General features: G+C 38.8%; 1 protein-coding gene across 9 annotated transcripts in view; it reads left to right on the top strand.

Annotated features, from left to right (window-relative positions):
• PTPRB (protein tyrosine phosphatase receptor type B) overlaps positions 1-17286 on the top strand; it is a 121560-nt gene that overhangs the window by 27192 nt on the left and 77082 nt on the right. For 5 of the 9 annotated variants that reach the window (XR_944651.2, NM_001330204.2, NM_001109754.4 and 2 more), the window contains exons 4-6: positions 899-1169; positions 13911-14189; positions 15514-15771. Coding sequence is in view for 8 of the 9 variants with exons in the window: in NM_001330204.2 (NP_001317133.1) it covers positions 899-1169; positions 13911-14189; positions 15514-15771 (808 nt within the window). In the remaining variant the exon portion in view is untranslated. Of the gene's footprint in view, positions 1-213; positions 478-898; positions 1170-13910; positions 14190-15513; positions 15772-17286 lie in introns of those variants that run through there. The other 4 variants (NM_001206971.3, NM_001206972.3, NM_002837.6 and 1 more) reach the window with 1 other exon arrangement.

The raw sequence follows: 17286 nt of genomic DNA, 5'->3' as shown, positions 1-17286 counted from the left end.
GCGGGGCAGCGGGGGCAGCTTGGCCCACATCGGGCCCCTTGGCAGGCTCAGGCGTTGGCTCCTCGGGGCTCCCTCCCTCGCCGGCGCATTGTTCCTTTGCCGGGAGACGAGGAAATTGCCTTTTGATTGCGGAAGTCAGCGGACGGGGCTGGGGCGAGGCAGCGCGGGTCAGAATGGCAGCGTGGGAAGGGCGGCGCGCTGCCTGTCCCCGCCGCCTCTCGCGTCCGCAGCCCGCCCGGGGCGGCAGGAGCAGCAGCAGCAGCGGTGGCCGCAGTGGCCCCTGCGCGTCGCCAGCCCCGAGGGAAGCGCGCTGCGCCCACGGGGCGCGCTGAGCGCGCGCAACAGGTGACCCCCTGCCCCGGCCCTCGGGCCGTCCCACGTCCAGCCCCCTCGGTCTCCTCTGGATCTTAACTACTGAGCGCAATGCTGAGCCATGGAGCCGGGTTGGCCTTGTGGATCACACTGAGCCTGCTGCAGGTGAGTGGCCCGAGAAGGGGTCAGAGCTGATGCGCCCCCTCCCCGCCGAAAACCAAATTCCCACTCCACTTTCTCGTCTATCGGGTTGTGCTTTGAAGAGGGAGGTGGCAAAATTTCTTCTTCTGCCTTGGGAAGAATGATCCTCTGGTGAGCCCCCCAACCCAGAATGACAGCTTATCCAGCTGTCAAAGCAAAAAGCCACCTTCTCTCTCCAGCTGCTCTCAAGGGACAGCAGCTAGGGAGAAAGTTGCCATCCACCTCCCCTGCAAGCCTCTTCTCTGGCCAGAGGGCAAAAGGACTGGCTGAGGCAAGGGACAAAGGATAAGTAGAGGAGAAAGTGTGGCTTGAGGAGCTTGCTGTGGACATGTCCCTGAGCAGTCCAGACTGTGGACTTAAACTGTTGTGTCTGATTCCTTTGCAGACTGGACTGGCGGAGCCAGAGAGATGTAACTTCACCCTGGCGGAGTCCAAGGCCTCCAGCCATTCTGTGTCTATCCAGTGGAGAATTTTGGGCTCACCCTGTAACTTTAGCCTCATCTATAGCAGTGACACCCTGGGGGCCGCGTTGTGCCCTACCTTTCGGATAGACAACACCACATACGGATGTAACCTTCAAGATTTACAAGCAGGAACCATCTATAACTTCAGGATTATTTCTCTGGATGAAGAGAGAACAGTGGTCTTGCAAACAGGTAAAGGATGACAGGTGCAATTGGATGGCCAAGCCACACGGGGTTGGGCCCTGCCTTTTCAAGCTGGTGTTTCATTTGAGTTCCAGGGATACAAAAAATGAAGGTAAAAATACCTGTGAAGATAAATATTGACAGAAATGTCTGGTTTCCTCGGATCTAGCCAGAAGCAGCTTGGTGGACTTTCAGAGACTCCCTTAGTGCTGAAAACAGCCAACTAGCTACTGAAAGGGTCGGGGTGGGGTGCAGGGCGGTCAGCAAAGAGAAACTTTGGGCTGCGGTGGGAATTTTTTAAAGTGATGTGGTTTACGCTTCCATTGCATTAAATTGTCAAACCCTGGAATAATTTTAAGTAAACGTTTTTAGAATAAATAATAGAAGTACAATATTAGGGGTATGCCTTTCCTCAACTTAGTTTTATTTTTAGAACTGTACATAAAATCTGCAGGAATAGAATGGAGCCATTCATCAGGGAAAATTAGAAAAGTCTCTTGAAATGAGGACATGAAAATTGTTTTGTATCTCTTGAGTAATAACCCAAACAGCATAGTATCAGAGAACGTCCTTTGATTACTTTACAGCAATTATTTTCCTTACACTTTTGCTGAATCCCTCCATGTGGATATGTTCAGAGTTTGCCTTTCTTGCCTCAGTTTTCTTATCTGTAAAATGGGAGTGTTAGACTTAGGTCATTCAAGTCCAAGTTCTTACCAAGTGCTCAACACTTAGGTATGGGCTGTCATGTACATTACCTCATTTAATCCTCAGAGCTACCCTCAGACATGCTCTAAATTCTTTAACAATTTTCAGGTTTTCTGACTTCATTAGTCTTCATTATCTCTATTTGTTGCAACAGTGTATCCTTACCTTCATCCAGAGATTCAAATTTATGTTAAAATTTTAAAAGTCAAATTTAGAAATGTGTTGCCCTTAGTATTCTTTCACATTTCAACCTGAAACAGGATCATTTCTTTTGCTACAGTTCTTCAAAGAGGTGTGAGAACTTTCAGCTCTAAAGGCAGGTGCAGCAGTTTCAGAGAATTTAACTGGGCTCATGTAGTAAGTCAACTAGATATTATCTTTTTTTTTCAAAGAAAAAAATCAAAATGCCCAATTACATCACTTAACTTACTTCAGATGAAACTTTTAGATGATATCTGAGATTTGCAGCATCTTAAGTTGAAAAGAGAAATCGCTTGTTAAGAATCTGGTGGTTTCTCTGACTGGGCGCAGTGGCTCACACCTGTAATCGCAGCACTTTGGGAGGCTGAGGCAGGTGGATCATGAGGTCAGGAGTTCAAGACCACCTTGGTCAACATGGCAAAACCTCGTCTCTACTAAAAATAAAACAAATAAATAAATAAAAAATTCGCCTGGTGTGGTGGCGGGCGCCTGTAATCCCAGCTACTTGGGAGGCTGAGGCAGAGAATTGCTTGAGCCCAGGAGGCAGAGAAGCCAGATTGTGCCACTGCACTCCAGCCTGGGCAACAGAGGAGACTCTGTCTCAAAAAAAAAAAAAAAAAGAAAAGGAAAATGAATCTGGTGGTTTCTAATATGGAATCAGAGAGCCTGAAATAGACCACATAATTAGAACATTTTACAAAAGTTGAAAGGCTGGGTTTTTAGTCCAAATGTTGTTGGTTTCTTAATATTACAGGATAGTTCTTATAAATACTCATATTGCTAATACTGTGAAATACATAACATAGAACTTACAGATGTGTTAATTGTGTTTAGAAAGGCATCTGGCCAACTAGTGTATGTGTTCAGTGGAGCAGAGCAATTTGTAAAAGCAGGCTGAGCTTTCAGAAGTTTGTTGGAGAAAAGATTAAGACCTTTAAGAAGCCAGAATATGGTTGTTTAAACCAGAGGATTTACTTTTTGGAAAAACAGTAATGGAAAAGGACTTACTGTGGGTGTAATTAGTTAGAATAGGCTTTGAGTTTAATTATGCAAGTAGGTATTCAAGTCCAGAGGCATTTCTGAAATGTAAGAAATACTTGCATTTTATTGACCATGTTGAGTGAAACAAGACTTCATCAGCATCCACAATGTGCTAGCATTCAGGGTTCTCACCATTTTTCTTAAAGAGACACACTTTACTTGTCTACAAATATTATGAGCTGCATGATAAATGTGAAGCATGAAAGTTGCAGGTGGTATTTGCATAATGATAAATTTCCCACATGTATTTGTATGATGGTTGTTTAGATTTAAATTACTTTTTTAAATAAGATATTTTAAAAATTGTTTCAGGGAGGAATTTTTTAGTCGGTTGTTATTTATTTGTCAGTAGTTCTTTCTACATTTTAAGGACATATGTGAATTGTTCACTTAGTTAATACAAAGTACTAGTATTCCCCTATGTTAATTGCTGAGCTATAGAGATGAGATGCATAAATCATATTTTACTGTTATTAAAGCAATGCCAACTAGTATAATATTCAAACTCAGACAAACTTCAAACAAAAAAGTAATTGAAAATATCTGTGCTTTCTTTATTCTATTATGCCTGTCTTATCAGTCTAAAACAAAATAGAATGAGAGCAAGACATGATTTGGATAGAAATATAGTTGTTGCTTAGATGATCTCTATATCATTCCAAATGTGACTGGCCTGATTATTTTTCCTGATAAACTGTCTAAAATAGCTCATTATTTTCATGTCATATAGACACGACCTTAAGGATAAAAAAATTGAATTAAATGGGCAATATTTCAGCAATAGTCATTTTCCATTCCAGATTTAAAATCAGAATCGAAGAACATAATGGATTTAAACCCAGTTCAGTGCACATGTATCAAACATAATACTGTTGGGAACTATGCCAGGTAGTGATTAGTAAGCTTATAAAGATGACTAACAAAAAGTGGTTCCTGACCTTGTTGTCTCGTGCAGAGGTGAGAGACGGTTATGATGAAAGTGGCAACAGAGCTTTATCTCATCTTTTCTGGATGAGGACTTTACTCTGCCTCATGTATGCCATGCTTTCATAACCATAGAGGACAAGATATTTGGCAATTCTCAGGTTTACTTGGTCATTAAACGGTCAACGCAACAAGAATATCCTTTGAAAGCCAAAGTATTTAGTGTGAACTCACCAGAAATCAGACAATGAACATACCAGATATGGAATAAGTTGGCATTTTTTTTTCACTTCTTGTAGAGCTCTTCTTAAACTTGGCACTTTTGAAGACTGTACTCAGAGTCTAGAGCAGAGGTTGCAAACTGGTAGCCTCTAGAGATAGCTAGGTGTCTAAATAATAACTATGTTGTGTTTGGCTCATGTAGTGTTTGTGAAAACATCCAGATCATTTCACCAGCATTAAAAATCAAAAATTCACATTAAAACCCAAATGTATGGATTCTCTTAAAATTTTGGAAGATTTGGCAAAACTGTGCCTAAAACTCTCTAGAGCTGACTTGTGTCTTCTCCTTTTAGATACCAACTCACTGGAATACCACTTCATTCATTTCCTTACCTGAATGCATTCTAAAGACATTTGAATTTGTGACTTCTACTTTGTGGTTTTCATTTGAAAATTTTAGGGAGCATTTATTTGTCTGGCAATAAGAAGTAGGTTTTCAGTACTTAAATGGCATCTAATACATGGTAGGTGTTCCGTAAATACTGATTAAATGGATGGATAGATGGATGAATGGAAAGATGGATGAATGGTGGATCTGGGCACGGATGATGAGTAGAAGAGATAGATAGACCAATATATAGATACAGATAAGCATGTAGATGTGAATGAATGAAATTAATATTTTAGTGAGAGAATGTACATATACTAAAAATATATTCTATTCTCATTGGATTATGGGTAGATTACAGAGCCCAGGGAAGAGTTGTAGTGGTAGATAACTTTACCTGTAGAAATAATATTTTAAAAGCATTTTCCCTCTTGTTAAGTCAGTTTCAGCTACTTATTAGTCAGCCTAGAAAAATAAAAAACAAAACCTCTCAAATGATTTTAATTATTTTAATATGGCTAACTTGTCTTTAATAAAAAACATTTTAGGAACGTTAATTGTTGAATCACCATATCAGCTATTATTTCCACTTCTTATTGTATTGGTTTACTAGGAGTGTCTTAACAAAATACCCCTGACTCTAGGTGGCTTAAACAACAGAAATTTATTTTCTCACAATCCTGGAGGCTAGAAGTCCAAGGCGAAGGTGTCTGCAGGTTTAGTTTCTTCTGAGGCCTCTCCTTGGCCTGCAAATGGCACCTTTTTGCATGTCCTCATATAGTGGTACCTCTGTTTCTGTTGTCTGTCTGTTAATGTCTTCTCATAAGAACACCAGTCATATTGGCTTAGGGCCCGCTCTAATGGCCCCATTTTAACTTAATCACCTCTTTAAAGGCCGTATCTCCACATACTGAGGTACTGGGGTTTAGGGTTTCAACATATAAATTTGGTGGGGACACAATTCATCCCCTAATACTTCTATAGTTTTAAACATAAGCCATCATTTCTTAATATCTGTAGGTTACCTGCATCGAAATATCTTGCAGAGCTGGTTATGAAAACATATTCTTGGTTTCTACCCCACATGGAAAGAATTAGAATTTAGAAGGAATAGAGCTGAGGGAATCTGCATTTTAAACAAATATCAGAGTGAATCGATGCACACAAGTTTAAGAACTATTGACATAATTTTTCTATTATTTGTTGGCATTAAGATTTTGATACAATTCTTCTTAATGCATGATCAAATCTATAATGCCTAGGAGTATTTATTATCTTTCCCAGGAAGAGAAGAGTACTCTAGTATTTGTTTTGTGCTTCTTTAAAATTTTATTTTATTTTTTTAATTTTTTTCAGACAGGATCTTGCTCTGTTACCCAGGCTGGAGTGCAGTGGCACAATCACAGCTCACTGCAGCCTTGACCTCCCAGGCTCAGGCAATTCTCCTGCCTCAGCCTCCTGAGTGGCTGGGACTACAGGTACCCAATACCACACCCAGCTAGTTTTTTAAATTATTTGTAGAGATGGGGTCTCCCTATGTTGCTCAGGCTGGTTTTGAGCCTCTGTGGCCAGCCTGTTTTGTGCTTTTATAGCATATAAAAGACTACCACATATTATGTTTAATTGGTAACAGTATGAAATACATATTATACTGACCATCTATAGCCTAATTTTATTCTCATGGCAACCCTGTGGAGGGGGTATTGTGAAAGGGCAGTTTGCATAGAGACTAAGAGTTGAGTTTTGAAGGTAGACTGCCTCTACCGCTTACTAGCCACGTTATTTTGGGCAAGTTATTTAACACTTCCAGGTCTGTTTCCAAACCTACAAAATGGGGATAGTATAACAATAACTCATGGGGTTGTTATGAGGTTTTCATTGGTTCATACATCAAATCTAGAAAAGCTTTTGTCACATATGAAGTGTGTAGTGAGTTTCCTATTATTACTTCCAGGTTGGAGATGAGATTGGTCTTCATAAGAATTAACTGACAATGTTTACGAATTCACACAGCTAACATACAATAGAGTCAGAACTTGAACTCTGGTTTACTGGCTCCAACTCCAGTATTCTTTCCACTACTCTGCGAAAAGTATATTATTTTTAAGTTGGCATTAGCTTTTTCAAATTACCACGTGTTATTTTATTATTTTTCAAAGTCAAGTCCTTTTAAAGAGGACCAAATATCTTATAAAATCTTTTAAATATATATATACTTAGCATACACAAAAATAGAATAATGGTTAAATATGTTTTAGTGTGAAGCAATTGCGAGTCACTATTGATCTCTGATTGTGTTGAACTTTTGGTGATGACTTCAGTATTTTGTAATCAGCCATTTACAGTTCATTTATTTCAGGAATTTTAAGGTCAAGCTGAGCTACCTATATGGAATGAACCAGCCCAGTTCTCTGAAATTGGTCTTCCTTTATGTGCCTAGAAATATTTCTCTATTAGTCTGACTTCTGTTGGTAGGCATGGCACTTTACACATTAGCTAGGAAGAAATAAAATCTAATTTGTCTGGACAGAATGAAAAAAACAAACAAAAAAAAAACAAAGGAAAACTGTTTGCCTTCCATTCCTAGATGCCAGTTTGCTGGAATCCCCCTGGGAATAAAAGATAATATTAGATTTTTCTGACCTGGTAGGAGAAACAAATCCCATTCTATATGTATGAATGTGTATAAATTAAGATGCATATACCCCTAAACATATAATATGAAACTAAAATGAACACAGTAAGTATATATCTAGGTTTGCAGGGATTTTTGTTTTTGATATTGTGTTTTCTTCCTTTTATATGGAAAAACTCAGTACCTAAAAGGGTAAAAAAGGATAGTATAATGAACTACCATGTACTCATCACCTTCCTTCAATAATTACCAATTTATGGCCAACCTTGTTTCATCTATATCCCCACCCACTCCCCCACTGCACATCATTTTGATACAATCCAAGTCGTGATTATTTCATTTCACTTGTAAATATTTCAGTCTACATCTCTGAGTAATAACCACAATATAATTATCACATCTAACATTAACAATAATGCCTTAATGCCTAGATGTCCAGGTTTAGAAGTACATATCAAGTGACAGCTCATGAATTTCTACATAAGAAGGCTTTTGGACAGCAATCTGATTAGAAGAGGGGTCCAGGGGACTTCTCTGTATATTGCATTTATACAGCATTTTAGATAATATTGAAAAAGCCTCAGTTATTGATATTAAATAATTGGGCTGGAACTACTGAAGAATATCATGGGGATGAGGGTGCATTAGTCTTGTTAAGTTGTCTGGGTGCCCTCAGTGCTGACATGGTTCTCTAATATTCACTAAAAGTGAGCTTCTAATTTTAGATCTAGTGTATACAGATGTTACATTAAATGCACAGCAACCTGATGTATTAGCATAATTTAATGCATCATCTTTAAAGTAAGCCAGAAAACTGACTATTGTCAAACAGCAATAATAACAAAGTAAAAGAAATTATCTCTCAGCTAGATGCGGTGGCTCACGCCTGTAATCCCAGCACTTTGGGAGGCCGAGGTGGGCAGATCACAACATCAGGAGATCAAGACCATCCTGGCTAACACGGTGAAACCCCGTCTCTACTAAAAATACAAAAAAAAAACTTAGCCGGGCGTGGTGGCGGGCGCCTGTAGTCCCAGCTACTCGGGAGGCTGAGGCAGGGGAATGGCAGGACCTGGGAGGCGGAGCTTGCAGTGAGCCAAGATCATGCCACTGCACTCCAGCCTGGGTGACAGAGTGAGACTCCATCTCAAAAAAAAAAAAAAAAAAAGAAAAAAGAAAAAAAGAAATTACCTCTCTAGAAATGTATTTAATTAACTGGAGGTTGTGCACAATTCTTTTCCGTTTTGTTTTTCTTCTCATTTTCAAAAACCTGCACCAAAGGATGGTTTGGTTTTTTGCCCCATCCCACCCTGATTTTTACAAGTAATCCTCCAATTATTTCATATGAATAGTGGATGTTTACTCCATTTTACATAAAATGCTACATAAATGCAGTTCCAATCAAGTCTCCTCACCACTCTGCTTGTTACTAGATTGGTATCCCAATTTCTGTAAAGATGCTGTTGTTTGGTTGGGAGGCAGGGATAAAATCCAGTTTGAGAAGAACTCAAGTGCCTAGAAAGAAACTTAGACTTTATCCTGAAATAGAAACTCATGAAAAGTTTTTGATGCTTCAAGGGGAATGAAGATGACAGATGGGGCAGATGTACAAAGAGATTATTTGGCAATCATGGAGGAAAGACGGAAAATAAGGAAGAGGCGGGGCGTGGTGGTTCGCATGCAATCCCAGCACTTTGGGAGGCTAAGGTGGGAGGATCATGTGAGCTCAGGAGTTTGAGACCAGCTGGGGCAACATGGCGAAACCCTATCTCTACAAAATAATACAAAAATTAGGCTGGGCACGCTAGCTCATGCTTGTAATCCCAGCACTTTGGGAGTCCAAGGCGGGTGGATCACGAGGTCAGGAGTTCGAGACCAGCCTGGCCAACACAATGAAACCCTATCTCTACTAAAAATATAAAAATTAGCTGGGCGTGGTGGCAGGCGCCTGTAATCCCAGCTACTCAGGAGGCTGAGGCAGGAGAATCGCTTGAACCCAGGAGGCGGAGGTTGCAGTGAGCCGAGATCATGCCACTGCACTCCAGCCTCAGCGACAGAGCTAGACTCCATCTCAAAAAAAAAAGAAAATACAAAAATTAGCTGGGCATGGTGGTGTGCACCTGTGGTCCTGGCTACTCATGAGGCTGAGGTGGGAGAATCACTTGAGCCCAGGAGGTTGAGACTGCAGTGAGCCATGATCACGTCACTGGACTCCAGCCCGGGTGACAGAGCAAGGCCCTGTCTCAAAAGAAAATAAGGAAGACACTTAGAAGGCTTTCAAAGTAATCCAACACAAAATGAAGGGACTCCAGGTAAAGGCAATAAAATAAGGAAAAAAGGGAACAGGCAAGAAAAATATTATTTTCGAAAAGGGAACTTTCATGCTCACAGAATTAGATTTAGCTGTTACTACTGTTGTTACTCATTTTGACTATGCTACAGTAGCAAACCAACATCTGAAAAATTCTATAAATATGCCTATCATTTTCCGTAGACATCTATTTTTATTTTTTGTCATTACACTGAATATGCAATTCATGACATCATTTCCCACACTAGGACAGCTAAGGTGTGATAGAGAGAAAACAGGATTTAGAGACAGGTATTGGAAGCTCAACTTTACTACCTGTTCCTATACAACACGAGTGAGTCATTTAATGTCTCTGAGCCCCTATTCCAACTGAGAAAGCATGTTGTAGATTATCAGGTCCTATACAGATGTAATGTGGTGCTGTCGTGCCTTTAAGAAAAGCTTTTGGCACCAACTCATGGATTGGCTGCCCTTTTTGTTATAAGGTTGAATTTATTTCTATAGCAAATACAATCACTTCTAATTCTAAAGAGTCTAGACATTTCTATATCAATAAATACTAATGTTTTAATGACCATGCTGTCACAAAAACAATTAAGAAGCAAATATCATTTGTGCTATAAATATAGCTTTCTTTCTCTTTCTAAATAACATTAAAAAAAAAAAAAAAACAGGGTCTTTCTATGTTGCCCAGGCTGAAGTGCAGTAGCTATTCACAGGCACTATTATGATGCACTATAGCCTCCAATACCTGGACCCAAGCAACCCTCCTGCCTCAGCCTCCTGAGTAACTGGAACTAAGGGCACACATCATCACACTTGGCTTCCTAAGTCACATTTAAAAAAAAGAAAAGGAAAAAAGAATTCATTTTGGTTCAGGAATTTTGCCATACTTTGTCTTTTCTTTTGAGAAAAGAAAAATTGTGTTGACGTCAAGCCTGCTTATGGAACTCTGGGGCTTTCTGGTGCTGGTAGATTTATTCAAGTATATACAATGAATATTATAGAACTTACTGTTGTTATTCATTTTGACTATGCATTTGTCATTCCATATTTCAGGTCTGTTGGGAACCAAGAATTACAAAGTGCTCTAAATTTATGGCTAATGATAAATATTGATATATTAATCAAGACTAAAGCTTTGATTTATTATTTTTTGATTTGATTTATTATTAGTTCTCATATTTTATAATACTTCACTGGTTACTATGCGTATGAGTGTGATGATTGGAAAAACCAGAGGCTATAAATGCACACATCTGTGCATTGATACCTTTAACCATTCACATAAATTATATAAGTCAAGTAGGATTTCCTAATTATGTACGATCTGTCATATGATCAGAAGACTATAGGTACATGACTAAATTTTCAAGTAGCATTAAAAATTTTCTCTTTCTCCATATATATATCTATATACATATATTTAATACATACACACACAGTCATATTATATGAAATGTGCACCCCTGATAGAAGTATCTAATAAAATTTTGAAAACTTTTTAAATCCATCAGAGTTTTTATTGGGCTTAGATTTAAAGGGAGTCTGAAAACTATTTAGTTTCTGCAGCATGCATAGCAATAGTGGACAACTGCCAGCAAAGGGCTTTATCACAGTATAAATGGGGTTTTAAGTGTTTGTTTCCAGTGCAGGTTCTCGCAGCCCAGGCACTTCCCAGTCTCATTGTTCCTTTGTTCTAGCGGATGTACAAAGGATTGACTGTTTTGTTTTCTGGCTCAGAAAGATTAGATAAAGTCTGCATTTCTGAACTTCACCCTCTAGACACGCAACCTTAAAATTTATTTCTATATCTCATATTTTGTGGATTATATATGTTTGGATTCTACTGATCATGACATTATTTTTTAAAATTTTTATCTGGCTTGATAGTACATGTAGATGATAGTATTGATCCCTTTTGAACTATCACTGGAAGCAGCTGTCCCTCTCATCCTTGTCCTTAAAATGCCACTTCAGCAAAAGTATGTCATCTCAATTGGGTACGACAGCATTGTTCTTGAGTTTCACTGGCTATTAGAATCTCATAGACTCCTCTATATCTTGTTACTTTTCAAAACTGCCTTGGAATATAAGTATTATTATTATACTCCCCAGATAGGAAAGTGGAGGCTTAGACAGGTTAAATAGCTTGCCCAAAGTCTCATGACTTTGTTAGAGCTGAGATTTAAATTTAATTCTGACTCCAAAGCCCATGCTGTCTGCCATTACATTTCACTGCTTCTGTGGCAATATTTTCACCTAATTATAGGAATAATAAAAATAATAACAGCTAACACTGAGTACTTACTACGTGCCAGATACAGTTCTAACTACTTTTTATATAATATTCAATGTAATCTTCATAACAATTCTACTAAAAAGATATTATTATCAGGATTGCATAAATGAGGAAACTGAGGCACAGGGAGGTTAAGGAATTGCCCAAAGCACACAGCTACAAATAGGAGAGCCCAATTCAAGCCCGGGCTGTCAAACCCTAGAACATATGTTCTTCAGGTGAACCAAAGGGCTGTGCTGTGGTGTGAACCATGCAACCTTGTCTTCCAAGCTCACCTGTGTTTCGGGCACTCTGTTAATTTTTGTCATAGTTACTGCTGCCTCAGCTTGCTTGTCAGCTAACATTTATGTTATTATTAATTATTGATGTTATAAATGTGGCATATATAATTTTGCAATATGATGTACTTAGCATAAATCATAGCATAAAACATAGAAACATTAGATTTCATAGGCTCTATTAAGCCTATGGTGTCTATTGGTCAGCCATACATAGTCTTATGAGTTGTCTGTTTATAACTGCCTTTTGAATATAGAGTAAGGCTATCTTATTTCTTTTATATGTAAATTACAAGTGAATATCATCTTAAAACATATAAGAAGGTTATATCTTCTAATAAGGTCTAGAATTCCTGGTGTTATATTGTGAACACAATATAGTCTACCAGGAAGTAGTGAAGTTTCTATAGCCATGCCATTATAATATCTGACCTGACCCTTCAATATTGGTCTCCAATATCTTGATCCCACTTTCTAGACCAAGAACCATGTTGGATTTCTGAAAATTTCTCATAAAGAGGTCTCTCAATAGTTCTACTCTCAGCACTCAGGGTAGGGGCAGCCCCTTATTTCTTAGACTTTACTCCCCACTGTACCAAAAGAATGGCTGCTCACTAAATATCATTGACTTAGTTCCTAATCCTGATATGCTTTTTATTCTATTCAAGTTCAATGGTGGAGATTCAACATAGGCAAAGCAGGACTTCTCAAACTGATCCTTGGCTTTGAGAGTTGAAATAAGGTGAACAGCTGGGTGCAAGATTTGCCCATTCCCACTTACTCTGGGTGCTCTGGCAGCACCAAAGTGCCCCAAAATTGAGATTTTAAAAACCTAGGGATATAGGGGGCCAGATGCGGTGGCTCATGCCTGTAATCCCAGCACCTTGGGAAGCTGAGGCGGGCAGATCACCTGAAGTCAGGAGTTTGAGACCAGCCTGGCCAACATGGTGAAACCCTGTCTCTACTAAAAATACAAAAAAAAATTCACCGGACACAGTGGCGTGTGCCTGTAATCCCAGCTACTCGGGAAACTGAGGCAGAAGAATTGCTTGAACCCGGGAGGCGGAGGTTGCAGTGAGCCGAGATCACGCCACTGCACTCCAGCCTGTGTGACAAGAGCGAGACTCCATCTTAAAAAAAAAAAAAAATCTAGGGATATAGGGAATCCCAGCTACTGGGAGAATCCATTTTGGTAAGCAACCCTATCCTAGGTTTATAATCAGATGTGTATCTTTTGTGGTTGTCTAATATCTAAAAACCACCCAAAGTTACATATACTAGACACCAACAATCTACAACCTAGGAAGAAGTTCAGTGTATATTTCAAATTATTTCTTAATATCTAGATTTTCTGTTGAGATCTTCAGTATTTATCCAGGCATAACCTGGATGTTTGTCAATGTTTGAAAAAGTTGCTAAACTGCAAGCCAAAGAAAATATAACTTTGCTTGGACTTTCAAGATCAGAGCTACCTTAACAACAACAAAAAAAGTTTCAGTAGAAAAAGGAATTCATATGACTAGTAGCTAAATGGGTTTTTTTTTTTTTAAGAAAGTGAAAGGGTAGGTTTGGAAGTGAAGCAAAATGGCAATTTATTTCACAAATAACAGATTTTTGAGAAAAATGAACCTGGACTGCAGTAAAATAAGCAGTTATTTGCAAAAGTCTTCAAGCCATGTTCTTTTTTTTTCTTTTTCTTTCTTTTTTTTTTTTGTGTGTGTGTGTGTATTTGCCTTGCAGATCCTTTACCTCCTGCTAGGTTTGGAGTCAGTAAAGAGAAGACGACTTCAACCAGCTTGCATGTTTGGTGGACTCCTTCTTCCGGAAAAGTCACCTCATATGAGGTGCAATTATTTGATGAAAATAACCAAAAGATACAGGGGGTTCAAATTCAAGAAAGTACTTCATGGAATGAATACACTTTTTTCAATCTCACTGCTGGTAGTAAATACAATATTGCCATCACAGCTGTTTCTGGAGGAAAACGTTCTTTTTCAGTTTATACCAATGGATCAACAGGTAAGACCTGTTTATTTTATAGCTGAGTAGTTAATAGGATACTTTTCAAGTTATACTTTATTCAAGGAATAGGAGTAAGATTGCTACTCCAGAGCAAAGTTAATTAATTAGCAATTAGTTAAATTTTTAAAAGGAGCTTGTGGGATACAGTGGACAGACTGGACTGAAAATAGGATGCGTGGCTATGCTGGTAACTTGTTGAGTGGTTTTGAAGAAGTCATGGGACTTCTGTGGAATTGGAGTTTTCTCCAACTTGGAATGGATACTCCCTAATGGCCCTTCTAACTCAAATCCAAAGCAACAAGACTTTCTGCCCCATTTTCTAAGTTTGTGCCATAAAACTTATTTTTTAGATGTTTTTATTCTTTGTATACTCTTCTCATAACATCAAGTCATAATGTTTCCTAACTATTCCTATGTTTGAAACAAGTCTTTGTTTCTCCAATGTGGTGAAAAATAAGGCATCTGTGCACCCACATATTATGATATACATGGCACATCACTACCTCCTTCCATAAAGTACATGTCTTTCATGTCATTTGCTCTCCCCTCATTTTCTCTCTTCTTAAATTTTTTTATTATACTTTAAGTTCTGGGATATTTATACTTTAAGTTCTGGGATACATGTGCAGAACATGCAGGTTTGTTACATAGGTATACACGTGCCATGGTGGTTTGCTGCACCCATCAACCCATCATCTACATTAGATATTTTTCCTAATGCTATCCCTTCCTTATCCCCCTCACCCCCCAACAGGTCCCCGTGTGTGATGTTCCCCTCCCTGTGTCCATGTGTTCTCATTGTTCAGCTCCCACTTATGAGTGAGAACATGCAGTGTTTGGTTTTCTGTTCCTGTGTTAGTTTGCTGAAAATGATGGTTTCCAGCTTCATCCATGTCCCTGCAAAGGACATGAACTCGTCCTTTTTTATGGCTGCCTAGTATTCCATGGTGTATATGTGCCACATTTTCCCTCTCTTTTTTAAATCTTCCTCTCCATTTTTCATCTTCTATAGTTCTTTCCTTTCTCTCTTCTACTTACTGCTGTGCAATGTTATATACTTCACTGGCAAAAGCCACCTTAATACCTATTAAGTGGGGGAGGCAGACAAGTAAATTATGATGTAACTTGAGGCTGCAGACTTTGAAAAGAGCACTAATCAAAGTTCCAGTGAAATTTCCAGAATCCTGTTATTTACTAATGCTATTATCAAGTTAAGATGTACAGAGGAACACAAATGAATATGTGACTTCTAATTAAATGTGTCTATGTCTCCTATAAGGGAATTATTAATGACATTTGGACATGCATTTTATCCCACTAGTGCCATCTCCAGTGAAAGATATTGGTATTTCCACAAAAGCCAATTCTCTCCTGATTTCCTGGTCCCATGGTTCTGGGAATGTGGAACGATACCGGCTGATGCTAATGGATAAAGGGATCCTAGTTCATGGCGGTGTTGTGGACAAACATGCTACTTCCTATGCTTTTCACGGGCTGACCCCTGGCTACCTCTACAACCTCACTGTTATGACTGAGGCTGCAGGGCTGCAAAACTACAGGTGGAAACTAGTCAGGACAGGTAAGTTCCCCCTAGCTAGCTGAAGAAGAATAAAGTGAAATCAAGGGAATGTTTAATAAGTCAAGTTTATTATATGAATAACTGTAATATAGGACAAATTGAAATTCTTATAAGGTATAGAAGACCCATATCCACTTTTCTACTCAGAAAAAGAAGGATTCTCTTTTATTCTAAAGTTTAGGCTAGCCCTTGGCAACATTTTGAAGTAGGCAAAGTTAATTACTGATATGGACCTAGCTTCTCTTCTTCTCTTTTTAATACTCTATCTCCTTGCTAAGGATTCCTACTTCCTTTTCTTAAACAGGCAACTGCTGTCTTTATGACATCACTCACAGTGAACCAGAGTTACTTTCTCCATGCTATACATACCCTACTCCTGTGTGACAGTCATTTCCAAAATTTTCTATCTAACCATATGACCTGGGACCCAATACCACAGGACCTACTCCCACAGCCTACCCTAGACTAATAAATGAATCTATGCTAAGTATTAATGAGTAATTTATACAAACTTTCATTCATTCAGCCAATAGTTATTGAATGTAAGCTAGATGCTGGGCATTGCTGATATAATATCCAAGAGAGACAAAGTCTTTGCCCTCACAGCGCTTACATTTTAGTAGAATCTAATGCTTCTAGCAAGTCTAATGTGTGAATTAAATCTCCTCTCTTGGTAAGTTATCTAATTTTAAGAGAAACTCTAATATATGTAGTGCCTTAGACATTAGTTTCTGGAACTATGGGAGGCTGGTGGGAAAGATATTTGAGGACACCGGTACATTTACATACCTTTTATAACACACCTCAAATATATGTAGATATTCCTGGCCAAAAATGTTCTATATATCTTAAAAGTTATTTATGTACATCAAGAGCAAATTGCATTCCTGACTGCCTTGTGCAAAATCAGAGTGCTGTGCCCATTCTTTTTTTTTTTTTTTTTTTTTTTTTTTGAGACAGAGTTTTGCTCTTGTTGGCTGGGCTGGAGTGCAATGGTGCGATCTCAGCTCACTGCAACCTCAGCCTCCCAGGTTCAAGTGATTCTCTTGCTTCAGCCTCCCGAGTAGCTAAGATTGCAGGCACCTGCCACCACGCACAGCTAATTTTTGTATTTTTCGTAGAGATGGGGTTTCACCATGTTGGCCAGGCTGGTCTTGAACTCCTGACTTCAGGTGATTCACCCGCCTTGGCCTCCCAAAGTGTTGGGATTACAGGCATGAGCCACTGCTCCTGGCCGCCCATTCTGTTAAGGAAGCTTCATTAATTTATATTCTAGAAAGAGTATTCACCAAAGGGTATCTCCTTTTTAATCATTTTCCTCTGATGAAGTAGTAACACAACTCATTAACTTTATCATGATTTAATATAAAAATTAAAGTAGTTTTATCACATAAAATTTTGTAATCAATCAATTGATCGATCTATTTACTATGTACTCAATATTATTGAATATTAATATATAAAGGCGATAAGAAATGAGGCAGATGGCAGACCTTTTTGTGCATTCCACTTAAA

The sequence above is a fragment of the Homo sapiens genome, chromosome 12, assembly GCF_000001405.40.
Source record: "Homo sapiens chromosome 12, GRCh38.p14 Primary Assembly".
In the NCBI taxonomy this organism is placed as follows: domain Eukaryota; kingdom Metazoa; phylum Chordata; class Mammalia; order Primates; family Hominidae; genus Homo; species Homo sapiens.
Note: the sequence above shows the minus strand (reverse complement) of the source record. Positions and strands in the feature narration are given on the sequence as shown.